The sequence below is a fragment of the Homo sapiens genome, chromosome 7, assembly GCF_000001405.40.
Source record: "Homo sapiens chromosome 7, GRCh38.p14 Primary Assembly".
Taxonomy (NCBI): domain Eukaryota; kingdom Metazoa; phylum Chordata; class Mammalia; order Primates; family Hominidae; genus Homo; species Homo sapiens.
The window spans coordinates 26,804,317-26,821,731 of record NC_000007.14 but is presented as its reverse complement, the minus strand read 5'-3'; the positions used below and the strand labels follow the sequence as shown (position 1 = coordinate 26,821,731).

At 35.2% G+C, this 17,415-nt stretch overlaps 1 protein-coding gene and 1 long non-coding RNA gene across 4 annotated transcripts in view; one reads left to right on the top strand and one right to left on the bottom strand.

Moving 5' to 3' along the window:
• Window positions 1-16,170, bottom strand: part of LOC124901606 (uncharacterized) — a 51,980-nt gene extending 35,810 nt beyond the window's left edge. Inside the window, exons 1-2 of the long non-coding RNA XR_007060265.1 lie at window positions 16,085-16,170; window positions 1,792-1,905 (exon numbers count right to left, since the gene is read on the bottom strand). This is a non-coding gene — a long non-coding RNA (uncharacterized LOC124901606). The remainder of the gene's footprint in view (window positions 1-1,791; window positions 1,906-16,084) is intronic.
• The window catches only part of SKAP2 (src kinase associated phosphoprotein 2), a 209,821-nt gene that overhangs the window by 42,859 nt on the left and 149,547 nt on the right, over window positions 1-17,415 (top strand). The window lies entirely within an intron of this gene.

Below are 17,415 nucleotides of genomic sequence, written 5' to 3'. Positions count from 1 at the left end.
TTAGATTCTTTTCTCAGGGAGGTGATATTATCTATAAAGAAAGTGGAAAGGCAGATAAGAAAGATCAAGTTTGTTGAGCTTGAAGGAGTATTGAGAATCCAGTCAAAGATATTTAAGAGGGAGTCTGAGATATGGAATAGAGATGTGGCAAATCATTGATTTATTCGCCTAAACATGTTTAATATCATGAGAAAGAGAAGACTTTCCAGAGACAGTAGAATGAGATAGATGAGAAGATTTAGAATAGAGACATTTTCTCCAACTTTCCTCACAGGTAAACCAGGAGAATTGCTGCTTTTGTTTCTAAACCTGTGATTCTATTTTACAGAATTTTAGAAGCCATTAATTACTTTCATTCCTTAGTATGATTATAGTCCTGGTGATACATTTTATCTTGGTCATTTTCTTTGGCGTTCATTTGAATGTTGATGTGATCTTAGGCTTTTTTTCCTCCCTCTTTGTTTTATCTAATTATTTTTCTCCATGTAATTCAGGCATCATGTTATGTTACTATGTCTTGTCCTGGCAACTTATATAATATTAAGCAATATTCAAGGCAGATCAGATGTACTTTTAGTATCTGCATACTAAATTTTCAAGGACTTTAAAAAAGATAAACTCTTATGTTTCATCATGTCATGAGTAAATAGTACTGTTGTCGTCAAATGCACAGATTATTGTATCCTATATACCTGGGTTTAATCCTGGTTTGACACTCTGACTTTGAACAAATTATTTTCTGTTTAAGCCTTAGTTTCTTAATTTGTAAAATTAGGGATAATTAATAGTATTTCAAAAGATTGTAGTAGGGATAGGTACATAGGACATGCCAATGTTAGCTCTTGGTTACTGTAATGTCACAAGATGACCAAGGGATGGAATAATTGACTTGATTTTAGTACATATTTTCTTTGGAATTTTTATCCATGTTTGAACATAAGTAGTTTAATTTGTGTTGGACAATATTTTATTTAATCATATCATATTGTGAGTAGCTAAAAGATAACTGATTATTTTTATGATTTAATATTCAACTTTTTGCTAATAAATATGGCAGGCATTTTTACGTGGTGGTTCATAAATGTCATGACCTGTGTGTTGACCTATGTTAAATTTCTGTGATCTTTTTTATTTGGGTGAATCGTATTTAGCTTCCTGTCTGTTAGATAGTAGGAAAGTAATGAAACAATAGCATATGAGAATTTGATCAAAATGAACCTTAATCCTGAGAAGCATTAACTGGATTATTTTGTTAGAAATATGCCAATGGATTTAAAATGTAGATAATCTTGAAATTTCAAATGATTTCATTCTTTGGTTGGTTGTTTACCTACTTGATGACCAAAAAAGCCAAGATATGTAGTTACTGTCACATTAAATTCAGAAAATATTTTATAAATAAAGCTTCATTTTAAATGTACTAGGAGGTAACTTTTGAGAAAACTTATTAGTAGATACTGTTTTACAAGTGGAAGGATTATGTTTTGTGACAATTATTAACAGTTTTAAAAATCAAGTTCTTAAATATTTGATTTTTTAAGAGATAAGATCTCACAATATTGCCCAGGCTGGAATAGTGGCTATTCACAGGTACAATCATAGTGCACTACAGCCTTGAGTTCTTGGGCTCAAGCAATATTCCTGCCTCAGCCACCCAAGTAGCTGGGACTATAGGCATGTGCCAGTGCGCCAGGCTTATATTTGATTTTTTTAAATTTTCTGAGCACTTTTATTTTAACTTTTATGAATAATTTCAAACATACAGACATAGAATATTATAAGAAAACTTACATGTATCCATATCTCAGCTTGAACAGTTATCACCTCGTAGACAGTAGTCTTTTGTTTGTACTTGCTCTACTTGCTCCTTCTAGATTATTTTGAATCAAATTCCACATGCCATTCCTAAATATTCCCAGATATATAATATAGATAGTGATTATTTTAAAAACAACCTTAATACTCTTATCACACCTTAAAAAGTAGCAGCAATTACCTAATATTATCAAACATACAGATATAAGGCATGTAAAGATGCTGTCTTTTAACAACTGAAGGCATTGAAAAATTAACATTTCAGAACGTGATTAGTGTTAAAGTGGTTTTTGTCTTGTGAACACTGAGAAGGGGAGAAAGCATGGGAAAGTTCTTTTTTTTTTTTAAGTATACTTTAAGTTCTGGGATACATGTGCAGAATGCGCAGCTTTGTTACATAGGTATACATGTGTCATGGTGGTTTCCTGCACCCATCAACCCGTCATCTACATTAGGTATTTCTCCTAATGTTATCTATCCCTCCCCTAGCCCCCACCCCCCGACAGGTGCAGGTGTGTGATGTTCCCTTCCTTGTGTCCATGTGTTCTCATTGTTCAACTCCTACTTATGAGTGAGAACATGCGGTGTTTGGTTTTCTGTTCCTCTGTTTGCTGAGAGTGATGGTTTCCAGCTTCATCCATGTCCGTGCAAAGGACATGAACTCATCCTTTTTTTGGCTGCATAGTATTGCATGGTGTATATGCGCCACATTTTCTTTATCCAGTCTATCATTGATGGGCATTTGGGTTGGTTCCAAGTCTTTGCTGTTGTGAACAGTGCTGTGATAAACATATGTGTGCATGTGTCTTTATAGTAGAATGATTTATAAGCCTTTGGGTATATACCCAGTAATGGGATTACTGGGTCAAATGGTATTTCTGGTTCCAGATCCTTGAGGAATTGCCATACTGTCTTCCACAATGGTTGAACTAATTTACACTCCCACGAACAGTGTAAAAGCATTTGTATTTCTCCATATCCTCTCCAGCATCTGTCGTTTCCTGACTTTTTAATTATCACCATTCTAACTGGCATGAAATGGTATCTCATCGTGGTTTTGATTTTCATTTCTCTAATGACCAGTGATGATGAGCTTTCCTTCATATGTTTGTTGGCCACATAAATGTCTTCTTTTGGGAAATGTCTGTTCATATCCTTTACCCCCTTTTTGATGGGGTTGTTTTTTTCTTGTAAATTTGTTTAAGTTCCTTGTAGATTCTGGATATTAGCCCTTTGTCAGATGGATAGATTGCAAAAATTTTCTCCCATTCTGTAGGTTGCCTGTTCACTCTGATGACAGTTTCTTCTGCTGTCCAGAAGCTCTTTAATTAGATCTCATTTGTCAATTTTGGCTTTTGTTGCCATTGCTTTTGGTGTTTTAGTCATGAACTTTGCCCATGCCTGTGTCCTGAATGGTATTGCCTAGGTTTTCTTCTAGGGTTTTTATGGTTTTAGGTTTTAAGTCTTTAATCCACCTTGAGTTAATTTTTGTATAAGGTGTAAGGAAGGGGTCCAGTTTCAGTTTTCTGCATATGGCTAGCCAGTTTTCCCAACACCATTTATTAAATAGGGAATCCTTTCCCCATTGCTTGTTTTTGTCAGGTTTGTCAAAGATCAGATGGTTGTAGATGTGTGGCATTACTTCTGAGGCCTCTTTTCTGTTCCGTTGGTCTATGTATCTGTTTTGGTACCAGTGCCATGCTGTTTCGGTTACTGTAGCCTTGTAGTATAGTTTGAAGTCAGGTAGCGTCATGCCTCCAGGTTTGTTCTTTTTGCTTAGGGTCATCTTGGCTATACGGGTTCTTTTTTGGTTCCATATGAAATTTAAAGTAGTTTTTTCTAATTCTGTGAAGAAAGTCAGTGGTAGCTTGATGGGGATAGCATTGAATCTATAAATTACTTTGGGTAGTATGGCCATTTTCATGATATTGATTCTTCCTATCCATGAGCATGGAATGTTTTTCCATCTGTTTGTGTTCTCTCTTATTTCCTTGAGCAGTGGTTTGTAGTTCTCCTTGAAGAAGTCCTTCATATCTTCTGTAAGTTGTATTCCTAGGTATTTTATTCTTCTTGTTGCAATTGTGAATGGGAGTTCACTCATGATTTGGCTCTCTGTTTGTCTATTATTGGTGTATAGGAATGCTTGTGATTTTTGCACATTGATTTTGTATCCTGAGACTTTGCTGAAGTTGCTTATCAGCTTGAGATTTTGGGCTGAGATGATGGGGTTTTCTAAATATACAATAATGTCATCTGCAAACAGAGACAATTTGATTTTTTAAAAAGAAATAAACCTGTGTCATGTGTCTATCTATATGTTTTATAATTAAATAAATTTAAAGTCTTAATGTTGTTGTCTGCAATTGTATCAACTGGAATTCTAATCCTTTGGATGGTAAAAATGCATGAGACATAGGTGTTGTTCTTTATATACATGATATTTGGATTTTATATAATAATAACTCCTTTAGTTGACAATTGTTCCCCAATTTTTTTTCTTGCTCTGTTTTACTATCCACTGAGTTTTAATAGTGTCCGTTATCATGAAATATTTCCTCTCTGCTGACATTCTTTTAAATCCCCTGTCTTTCTGTTCTGATTTTCATCTAAAGATGTATTTCAATGTATTTTTATAAATCTTGATGGATATATAAACCTATAGACCTGTGTGAATGTATACACTCCTGTGAACTAGCTGTACTCCTCTGAGACTATAAACACATTGCTGGTCTGTTATTTAGTCCAGATATATAAAGATTGAACAGCTTTTTATCCCAAAATCATGGTGGGGGAATGTGTAATAAGGTGTTGAAATGCTGATGTCCATTTAAAATGTTATAAATGTTTTAAACAAGCTATTTGAAGTATGCATACACAATTTTTGTTTGATGAGGAAAAGTGAGTTAGGTGTGGTTTAGGTAAAGCATATCCTCTCAGATTAATTTTTCCATCACTGTGACTGTGCCCACAACAGGGGTTCAGATAGTGCACTGAGCAAACCATGTTAGCAATTAATTTCCTATCCTTTTGTAACATGTTAGAAAATGTGTCAGAAAGGTTTCAGTGAACTTTGATCAAATTAGTTTATGCCTGTGATTTGACTAATACTTTTCTAGAATCCTTGTGAATTTAGTCTTGCTTTCATACTTAGCAACTAATTAATCAGAACATTTTTTTTGCCTTATCAAATTTCTTTGCTAGAGAAATCTAATTGATCTGTTACTGATTGTTGTTTGAGACAAAATCCAAAGGCCATCTCTTAGTGTAATTACTAATATATTAAGTGCATCAACACATACTTATATTGTAAAAATTGACAGTCTGAATTTTCTTATTTTTAATATCTTAGTATTCTTAATTTTCTTAATATCTGACTTACTACAACTAGAGTAATATAAAACAGCTGTAAAAATTGACTGTATTTTAAAAATTGATAGCCTAAATTTTCTTATCTTTAATATCTTAGTATTCCTAATATTCTTATCTTAATATCTGGCCTACTAAAACTAGAGTAATACAAAACAGCTGTATGTATTCATAAGTGATAGGAGGCCAAAGAAACAAAAATTTTTTCTCAGCATAAGCTCTGCCAGTTAATGCTGAATATGTAACTATTTTTCATTTCAAAAGTATGAGTAAAATTGATATTTTTTCATAATTGCATAAATTAACAATGCACTTATCTTTTATCTACCGTGTGGTTGGATTTTGAACGTGTCTTGCGATGTTGCTACTTCTTTAGCATTCTTTATATAGCACAAAGTGGGAAATGCTTCTTTTTATAAGCAAAAACATGAACAAAACATTTGTTAGAAAACGTGTTAAGTCAGTTATTTAGCCATGAGATCATCATATGCAACCATTATCTATTTATAATTCTCCTTTTGGAAAGTAAATAGAATTTTAACAAATGCTGTCATTTAATGTCAAGCAAAATTTCAAAAATTTTTTAAAAGCCTGATTTTTAAGTAATGGAGCTATACTAAAATGCTTTAGTGTTTATTGTATGTGGATTTTATGCAGTTGGGTCAGGTTATCAATATAATTGACTAGGGCTTAAGATGAAAAACTGAGATTATATTCTACTTTTTACTATATACTGTTTTATCATTCCCAACTAAGTTTGGGGCTACTTAAACCTTGAAAAATTTACTGATGTGGTATTTAGAATCTGTTATTTGGGTATCATAGGAAGAATGTAGTGAGTTGGTGGTAATTGATTTATCCTCCATCATACTGAACCTCCCACTCGTCTTCCACTTTGTCCTCCCTTGGGCAATAATCACAGGGTCGAACTGCCAATCTGTAGACTTAATTTTTTCCAGCAGTACCATCTGGCTCCTTGGCACCATAAGTTATATTGGTTCTTTGTGGCTGTTACTGAGTTTGTCATATTGTTAGACAGCTGATGGGATGTTTTTTGCTATTCGACCCTTTTAAAACTAATTATTGATTTTTATTTAGAGAATCTTCTTTGGCCATTTATGATAGCATGGCAGGATTTTATTGTGAAAAAAGTAGAATGCACCTAAACAAATCCTATATTATGTGTCAACCTTGAGATTCTATTCTCTGTATTGTATTCTGTCTAGTTCTTTAGTAGCTCTCCCTTTCAAGAGAGATTAAAATTAATTGTACAGGTTTTCTGTTTCATTCAAACCTGTATGTGTTTTTAAATTATTTGAATTTGCATTTAAAATCCTGTTATTACTGCAGTCATTTCCTAGTCACGAATGTTTAGAAGTCCCTATTAGTGGCACAGATAAACTTCTAATACCCAGTAATACTTTATCCCCTTAAAAAAAAAAAGACCATTTGTATATTATCTTGTGTTTTATTTTGTAGATAGGTGGTTTTACTGTTATGTCTAATGACATTCATAACAATTTAAAAGAGTAATTTTGAAAGGTAGTTCTGAGTTTCAGTAATTAAAAAGAATAGCCTAAGCACATTTCTATTTTTCATATTACACTTAACTAGATATTTTTGATGAAGGCAAAAATTATTTGACCTATTTGTTTCTAAAGTAAGGATCATAAACAAAAATAAATAATTTTTTTAAACTCTTGAATCTGCATATGAAGCAGTTCATTTTGCAAGTATTTATCATATTTGATTGCATTTATTTTTAATGGTACATGATAAACGTCTTTTAGAAAGTTTTAAAGTAGTTATTTTAGAACACAATAAACATCTTTTACAAGGCCCTTTAGAGGTTTTCATTCATATAAAAGTGTTTCTCTTGAGTTTAAATATTTAATTAGAATCTGTTAATCTATGTTGCATTATAATAATGGCAGGATACTGATGTGTTGGAAATATTTACACTGAATCTTTTTTTTTTTTTTTTTTTGCTGGTGTAAGGGTGTTTGAAGTTCCTAAAGAGTGATTTCGCTGGGATTATTTTAATACCACCATATTAGAAGCCTGCTAACTACAAACTGGACTTTACAGAATATTAGATAAAATATACAGCTAAATTGCTGTGATTTGGTTGTGATGTGATTTCATTTAAAGTATGTAAAGAAGAGGAGCAGTAAATATCTCTCTGTAAGAGGAGCTAAATCAGATGTCAGTGAAATGATTCATGTGCCAACTGGAATAGTTAACATGCATTTTATTCTACTGTCTAGCAGGAGGAGGTGGGCTATAGAAAATGAATTCTCCACTAAATAATTTACAACAATTATATCAAATTTTAATAATGAGCTAAGAAGGCATACATATGATTCATGTTCTCACAGTTTCCTACATTAGAGATTAATTGTGCTTTTGTTAAACAAAAATGTACTCTTATAAATATTTTTAATTAGTAAATCATGATTAGTTTTATATTTATAGAGTAGCATCGTTTGATCAATTTTTAGCTGTAGCTTCATATGAAGCTAAAATATCACAGCTAAATCTGTTGTCTCAAATGCCAGCTCATGAGAATTTGCTCCTAATATCAAGAAACGCCCTGAATTGTTTGTTGGCTTTATCTTAACTCAAATATGTAAAGGGGACAGTAGAACATTTTTCTTTCGAATCACAGAGAGTTCAGTGACCTTTCTGTGGCAAATTACATAGAAAGAAAATATTTATATTCATTTAAAATAACCTCTGTGAAGAAATAGTCTCATTACCCTGTTTGATCAATTTCTTGTAGCCTGAGCTGTAGCATGCTGCTATTGCCATTGGTTGATGGAATACACTGAGTAGTGGCTAATGGTGATGGTGCTCATCAGGAAGGGTTCAGCCAGCGGTCAGCAACAAATAATTCAAGACTGTTTCTAAGTTTGTGGCTGGTGGAATTTGCTTTTTGCCCCAAGCCAGCGGCATTGCTGAGCTGGGCTATTTGATTAGAAGAGAGGCATATTTGCTTCTTAGCAACTGCACATTTGCACAACCCATAGTCCTTTACTGCCTCCAAAGGTTTTCCTTTTGTGGTGGTAGAATAATACTTTATTGTTGATTGACAGACAAAAGAAGTTCTAATACAAGGCAAGCTTATAACCATTTTTGTTGTTGTTGGCTTTAAAAAATTTCAGCTACATACGCCATTTTTTGAAAAAGTATAGACAAAAGGTATGTATAGTGTAAATCAGTATGGAAACCCCAATATGCTAGATTTTTAATATATTATCAAGGAGGTTTGCACAGCATGAATACAATTGCATACTGTTACTTTTGTGCCTAGCAGGTTCAATGATAGAAAATCAATTCTGACTCCAGTGTATGTACCTATATCAATATTCTGGGTGTTTGCAGTCTCCAACTAGAATTAATGCTAGAGAAAATTTAACTAATAATTTTTAAAAAAATTGAAGTTAGTAGAACATCTATATAGCTTTGTCACATTTAAGAACTAGTTTTTATATAAGATTAGAAGTCAAATTTTGAATTCTGAATACAGCGTGAGTATAGAATTTGGAATATAGTTCTCACAGGAATGAACTTACCTTTAATAGAAGACAGAGGTATTTATAACTCAACAGTTAAGAAACAAGTGAGAAAAGATAAATTTGGGGAGGACAGTTTGAGTTTTATGATCCTGGGAAACCAGGACCGGAAAAAAACAGGCTTTTTTTTTTCTTTTTTAAAAAAGCATGGTTTTATGGCTTTTCTCACTGAAACTGTATGGTTAGGACTTGAATCTCAAGATTTTAAGGAAGATGGTATAAAAAGTGATACGACCATAGATGATAATTTTATTCTTGCATTATTTTTGGTAATAGTTTTTTAACATACCTATTATACCTTAAAGAAATAATGCGAAACTATTTGAGTCAATACATTTTGATATACATCATTTAAACCCATTGTTTAACATATTTTGTCGACGTAATTCATGGTAAAATGAAATGGCATCTGTAAGATTAATTGCCATTGGTTGATTTTTTTATATTCTATGAAGTTATGTTTAGAACATATGGTGCTTTTTTAAGGGATTTTTTTTTGTATTTTTGTCTCCTAAGGTTTAGAACAGATATGAGAATTTCCGTAATTTAAGATGAACAACAGAAAAGTGCACTGGTGTGAATTATCCAGTTCACAAATCTTGAAACATGTTTTGGGATTTAGGGAAGTTAAAGCAAGTGCAGACATTAACATAGACATAAAGTGTATATGGGCAAATACTCTCATTTCCCAGTAAAAGGACCTTAGGATATATCAGTATGCATAATATGACCATCACTCTATTTACTTACTAAGACATAGCCATTTTAGTGGCAACCTAGAGCCCAAAAGAGGGAAAAGAAGTGAGGTTGAGTGATTTGATATTGCAAGGCAGTAATATGCCCCTTTGTATCAAGCAGCTGTCCCTTTGCAATTTCGGTTAACATCTTTGAAACAGTTCCCTTAAAAACAAATCAGGGCCCTAGGAGGAAATAGAAAATACTTTTAAGAGTGGTTTTAAATTGTTTAAAAATTAACATGCCTGCAAATAAATTCCCAAAGTTAGGATGTGACTTTAATGTTATATAAATTAAGGTTATAGCTTTTGCTAGCATTTTACTTATAAGGTAAATTATGGGAATTTGATGTAATAAGGAAAATGTTCTTTAAATTACTAAACTCTCTTGCAAATAGTTGCAAAATGGCATTTTAAAACTCTAATCTACTACATTAAAATTACTTGTATTTATTAGTCTGTATCATTAGATGGCATTTACTACTAAGTGCCCTTTTCTTCTCTTTTAATAGCTTAACAGTTTCTTATTTTGGGATACATAACAAAAGACAGTTTTCTTAGTGGGGCTTTATGACAATTATCACCTGCAGGTGGAGGGGGGATCTGTTTTATTACTGACTAGTTTCTTCCCTCCATCTCCCATTGCAAATATAAAAAGTACAAAGTAATGTACAAAATGGTGTTCTTTTGGACTTAAGTTTTTACATATAGGTCCATTTGTTGAGAGAGAAGAGGAACAGAGACAAATAGAGGTTTCTGGTGCTTTTCTACTAGGTAAAGAGGGTGTAGGGACAGGGAAAGAGAAAGATGGTGTGGTTTGGGGATATGGATGGGATTTTTTAATTTGTTCAACAGAAATTTTCAGTGCTCCAGTGGCTTCCTGAAGCCTTTAAGGTAAAATCAATAGAGAAATATATCAGAATAATTTTCAGTGGCATGCATGATGAATTATTGTTTTATTATTGAAGAAACTATGGCCCAGAGAGATTAGGTGATTTGCCCAAAGCTACACAGCAAATAATGGTGGAGCTGAGGTAGAAATTTAGGTCTTTTTTTTCTCCAAAGCCTACAATCTTTTTCTGGTGGAACACGAATACCTGCTCTTCAGGCTTGTTGTGTTTAGGGACATGAGCTTTGGATGCTAACAAATAAGAGATGAAAGCTCTGAGACTTGCTTTGTGACTGGTCAAACTACTTGACTTCATTTTATTTTTATTTTTTAATTTAAAAAACTTTAAATTGACAATTAAAATTATATATAGGGCTGGGGGTGGTGGCTCATGCCTGTATTCCCAGCACTTTGGGAGGCCGAGGTGCGCGGATCATGAGGTCAAGAGATCGAGACCATCTTGTGCAACATGGTGAAACCCCGTCTCTACTAAAAATACAAAAATTAGCCAGGCATGGTGGCGTGTGCCTGTAGTCCCAGCTACGCGGGAGGCTGAGGCAGGAGAATCGCTTGAACCTGGGAAGTGGAGGTTGCAGTGAGCTGAGATCGCACCACTGGACTCCAGCCTGGTGACAGAGTGAGACTGTGTCTCAAAGAAAAAAACAAACAAAAACATGTATATATATATATGGTACACAGCATGATGTTTTGATATGTGTATACATTTTAGAATGGCTAAATCAAGTTATTTAGCTCAAGTGTTACCTCATGTACTTATATTTTTGTGGTGAGAACCTTTGAAATCCACTGTTAGCAATTTTCAAGTATAAGTAGGTTAAGCAGTCACCGTGATGTACAATAGATTTCTGAACTTACTCCTCCTATCTAACTGAAATTTTGTATCCTTGGACTAGCATCTCCCCATTCCTCCTATTCCTCAGTGTCTGGTAACCACCATTTTGCTCTCTGTTTCTGTGAGTTTGACTTTTTTGTTTTTCTTGTTTTCTTTTTTTTTCTTTCTTTTTCTTTCCTTTTTTTTCTTTTAGAGACATGGTCCAGGCTGGAGTGCAGTGGTGCAATCTCAGTTTACTGTAACCTCAAGCCATCTTCATGCCTTAGCCTCCTGAGTGGTTAGGACTACAAGGGTGTACCACAATGACTGGCTAATTTTTTTATTTTTGTGGAGATGGAGACTTGCCAGGTTGGCTAGTCTGGTCTTGAACTCCTGGCCTCAAGTGATCCTCCTGCTTCAGCCTTCCAAAACACTGAGATTACGGGTGCGAACCACTGTGCCCAGCCCAACTTTTTAACACTACATATAAATTAAGATCATGCAGCATTTGTCTTACTGTGCCTGGCTTTTTTACTTAACTTAATGCCCTCCAGGTTCATCCATATTGGCACAAATGACAAGATTTCCTTCTTTTGAAAGGCTAAATGGTATTCCATTTTATACATATACTACATTTTCTTCATCTATTCATCTTCATGGACACTTAGGCTGATTCCGTATCTTGGCTATTGTGAATAATGCTACAGTGAAGATGGGAGTGCAGATATCCCCTTGACATACTGATTTTGTATCTTTTGGATATATTCCCAGAAGTGGGATTACTGGATCATATGGTAGCTCTATTTTTAATTTTTTGGGGGAAGCTCCATACTGTTTTCCATAATGGTTGTTCTAATTTACATTCCCACAAACAGTATACAAGGCTTTCCATTTCTTCACATCCTCACAAACACTGGTTATCTTTTGTCTTTTTGATAATAGCTGTTCTGACAGGTGTGAGGTGTTATCTCATTGTGGTTTTAATTTGCATTTCCCTGATGTCTAGTGGTATTGAACATTTTTTTTGTATACCTGTTGGACATTTGTAGGTCTTCTTTTGAGAAAAGTTTATTCAGGTCCTTTGCCCACTTTTTTTTTTTTTCTTGTGAAACGAAGTTTTGCTCTTGTTGCCCAGGCTGGAGTGCAATGGTGCGATCTTGGCTCACTGCAACCTCTGCCTCCCGGGTTCAAATGATTCTCCTTTCTCAGCCTCCCAAGTTGCGGGATTACAGGCACATGCCACCACACCCGGCCAATTTTTGTATGTTTAGTAGAGATGAGGTTTCATCATATTGGTCAGGCTGGTCTCAAACTCCTGACCTCAGGTGATCTGCCCACCTTGGCCTCCCAAAGTGCTGGGATTACAGGCGTGAGCCACCGCGCCCGGCCAGACCACTTTTTTATTGAGTTTTGTTTTCCTACTATTGAGTCTGTTGAGTTCCTTATGTATTTTGGATCTTAACCCCTTACCAGATGTGTGGTTTGCAAATATTTTCTCCTATTCCATAGGCTGTCTCTTCACTCTGTTGATTGTTTCCTTTGCCGTACAGAAACTTTTTAGTTTGATGTAACCCCATTTACCAACTTTTGCTTTTGTTACCTGTGCTTTGGGGGTCATATCTAAAAATTCTTTGCCAAGACCAACATCATGGAGCTTCTCTTCTGTTTTCTTCTAATATTTTTAGTTTCAGGTATTCCACTTAAGTCTTTAATTCACTTTGAGTTGATTTTTGCCGTAGGCATTGTTGTTATACCCATTTTGTACATGAAGAAATTAAGGTATAGAGAGACTAGGTTACATGCCTAGTAAGTATCGGAACCAAGGTTGAGACCCAAGCCATCTTATTCCAAGGCTTGTCCCTTCCTTTTTTTTTATTATGGTAAAAGACACATATTATGAAATTTACAATTTTAACCACTTTTAAGTATACATTTCAGTGGCATTAAGTATATTCACAATGTTGAGTAACCACCAATCACCGTTTTCATAATGTTTTCATCATTGTAAACGGAAACTCTGTATCCATTAAACAGTAACTCCCCATTCACCCACCTCCCTACCCTCTGCTCCCACAACCTCTATTCTATTTTTAGTCTCTGAATTGGCCTGTTCTAGGTACTTCATGTGAGTAAAGTCATACTGTATTTGTACATTTGTGTCTGGCTTATTTTACTTAGCATAATGTCTTTAAGGGTCATCATGTTGTAGCATGTATCAGAATTTCATTCTTTTTTTAAAGCTAATAATATTCTATTATGTATGTATACCAAAATTTATCCATTCATCTGTTCATGGACATTTATTTGGGTTATTTCCATCTTTTGGTTATTATGAATACTGCAGAGCCTACACTTTTGACCACAGCCCTATACAGATGTATTAATTATTTATTGCTGTATAGCAGATTACCCCTAAACCTGTGTATTATTTTATTATCACAGCCATACCTCAGAGATATTGTGGGTTTGGTTTCAGACCACTGCAATAAAATGAATATTGCAATAAAGCAATTCATGAGTTTTTTGATTTATATGCATAAAAGTTATGTTTACACTATACTGTAGTCTATTAAGTGTGCAATTAGTATTATGTCTAAAAAACAATGTGCATACCTTAATTTAAAAATACTTTATTGCTAAAAAAAGTGCTAACAATCATCTTACCCTTCAGCAAGTTGTAATCTTTTTGCTGGTGGAGCGTCTTGCGTCAATGTGGATCACTGCTGACTAATCAGGACAGTGGTTGCTGAAGGTTTGGGATGGCTGTGGCAATTTTTAAAAGTAAGATAACAGTGAGTTTTGCCACATTGATTGACTCTTCCTTCCATGAAAGATTTCTCTGAGGCATGTGATGACATTTGCTAGCATTTTACCCAAAGTAGAACTCCCTTTCAAAATTGGAGACTGTATTAGTCCATTTTCACACTGCTATAAAGAACTACCTGAGACAGGGTAATTTATAAAGGAGGTTTAATTGACTTGCATTTCCACATGGCTGGGGGCGCCTCAGGAAACTTAAAATCATGGCAGAAAGTTAAAGAGACACAAGCAGCTTCTTCACAAGGTGGAAGGAGAGACAGAGAGCAAGGAGGGAACTGCCAAACACTTTTAAACTATCAGATCTTGTGGGAACTCACTCACTATCACAAGAACAACATGGGGAACCCCCACTTCCCCGATGATCCAATCACTTCCCACCAGGTCCTTCCCTGGACACGTGAGGATTATAATTCGAGATGAGATTTGGGTGGAGACACAGAGCCAAACCATATCAGAGGCAATCCTCTCAAATCCTGCCACTGCTGTATCGCCTAAATTTATGTAATATACTGATCCTTCCATTATTGTCATTTCATCAATGTTCACAGTGTCTTTACTGGTAGTAGATTCCATCGCAAGAAACCACTTTTTTTGCTCATCCTAAGAAGCAACTTTGCATCCCTTCAAGTTTTATCATGAGATTTCAACAATTCAGTCACGTCTTCAGGGCCTACTTCTAATTGTAGTTCTCTTGCTATTTCCATCATATCTGCAGCGACTTTCTCCACTGAAGTCCTGAACCTCTAAGTCATCCATAAGAGTTGGAATCAGCTTCTTCCAAACTCCTTGCACTTTTATGTTATGAAGATGGCTTCTTTCCTTAAACCTCATGAACCAACCTCTGCTAGATTTCAACTTTTCTTCTGTGGCTTCCTTACCTCTCAGTCTTCATAGAATTGAGCAGAGTTAGGGCCTTGAGCTGCATTAGATTTCACCTTAAGGGAGTGTTGTAACTGATTTAATCTTCTATCCAGACCACTGACACTTCATATCAGCAAAAAGGCTTTTTTGCTTTCTTACCATTTGTGTATTCACTAGAGCAGCACTTGTATTTACCTTCAATGACTTTACCTTTGCATTCACAACTTGGCTGTTTGGTGCAAGAGGCCAGCTTTCAGTCTGTCTTGGCTTTCAACATGAATTTCTTACCAAGCTTAATCATTTCTAGCTTTGTTTGTTTGCTTTGCAGCCTCAAATTCCCAGGCTCAAGGGCTTCTCCTACCTGTTTCCTGAGTAGCTGGGACCACAGGCATATAACGCCATACCTGGCTTATTTATATTTTTTATATTGATTTGTTTATTTATTGATTGATTGAGATGAGGTCTCACTATATTGCCCAGGCTAGTCTCAAACTCCTGGGCTCAAGTGATCCTCCCACTTTGGCCTCCCAAAGTGCTGGGATTACAAAAGTGAGTCTAGCTTTTGATTTAAAGTGAGAGGTGTGTGATTCTTCCTTTTATTTGAAAACTTAGAAGTCATTGTAGGGTTATTAATTGGCCTAATTTCAATATTGTTATGTCTCAGGGAATAGGGAAGCCCAAGGAGAGGGAGAGAGACAAGGGGAAGAGTCAGTCAGTGGAACAATCAAAACATACACAATATTTATCAATGAAATATGCTATCCTATATGGGTGTGGCTCATGGTTCCCAAAACAATTACAATGGTAACTATAGATCACCGTAACAGATATAATAATAATGAAAAAGTTTCAGATGTGAAAATTACCAAAAGGTGACACAGAGACACAAAGCCAACACATGCTGTTGGAAAAATGGTGCCGATAGACTTTCTCGACAGAGTTGCCACAGACCGTCAACTTGTAGAAGGTGCGATGTCTGCAATGTGCAATAAAGTGAAATGCAATAAAATGAAGTGTACATATATTTATTATTAAGTAATAAACCTTTTATTCTCACATTTCTGTGAGTCAAGCATTGGGGAATGGCTTAGCAGTCTCTGGCTTAGAACTATTCATGAAATTGCAGTCAGAATTTTAGCTGAGGCTGCAGTGATCCGAAAGTTTGAATCCACTTTCAGGGAGGCTCACTCACATGGCTGCAAGTTGGTGCTGACTGTTGTCAGGAGGCCTTGGTCCCTTTTCACATGAGTTTTTCCACTGTCTACTTGAGTGCCCTCATGACTTTGTAGCTGGCTTCCCCCGAAGAAAGAGCCGAGTAGAAGCTATATATTTTTTTATGACCTAGTCTCAGATGTCACATAGCATCACTTTAGCCACATTCTGTCCTTTAGAATCAAATGGGTGAAGTTGACCCCCATTCAAGGGGAAAGGGATTAGGCTCTGCCTTTCGAAGGAGGAGTGTTAAGGAATTTGTGAACTCATTTTAAAATCAGCATACCTGATTAGAATAATGAAGAAAGTAATCACTGGTAACAGAAATAATTCCTACAAAAATTATGGTATACAACTGTCTAGAGACATTTTCTGTACATATATGACATCATAGTCTGTTGATTGTTTCATAATCTGATTAAAAATTTTTTATTTTAAAGAGACAGGGTGTCACTATGTTGCCCAGGCTGGTCTCAAGCTCAAGGGAACCTCCCACATCAGCCTCTAAAGTAGGTGGGAATATAATTGCTCACCACCATGCCCAGCTTTATAATCTGATTTCAAAACTAACCCCTGTTAAAATTGTAGTATATTATCTGTCTAGAGACATTTTCTGTGCATATTAGACATCATATTCTGGATACTGTGTTTTATACTTTAATTTTTTCATACTATAGGAAACATCTTTCCATGATAGTAAGCATTTTTTATACATTGGCTGTTAATCTTTTAAGGATTTCCCAATAATGGTATTTCACTGTTAACTGGCTTTTCTTTTTACTAGTTGATGGTGAATTTAAAAAATATTTTATTCATTATTTGCATTTTTAATAAATTGCCTTTTTATTTATTCCTGCATTAAAAATTGGCACTTTTTTTTTTTTTTTTTGAGACGGGGTCTCACTCTGTCACCCAGGCTGGAGTGCAGTGGTGCTATTTCGGCTCACTGCAACCTCCGCCTCCCGGGTTCAAGTGATTCTCCTGCCTCAGCCTCCTGAGTAGCTGGGACTACAGGTGCGTGCCACCATGCCTGGCTAATTTTTGTAATTTTAATAGAGACAGCGTTTCACCACATTAGCCAGGATGGTCTCAATCTCCTGACCTTGTGATCTGCCCGCCTTGGCCTCCCAAAGTGCTGGGATTACGGGCCTGAACCACCAGGCCCGGCCCGGCACATTCTTTTTATTAAACATTATGTGTTAAGGATTCTAAAACATTATCATGTAAGGTATAAATATTTCTTCTTTGCTTATAATTTGTGGTATTGATTAAAACAAATTGTAGAAGTATAGAGTTAGAAAGGATAACAGA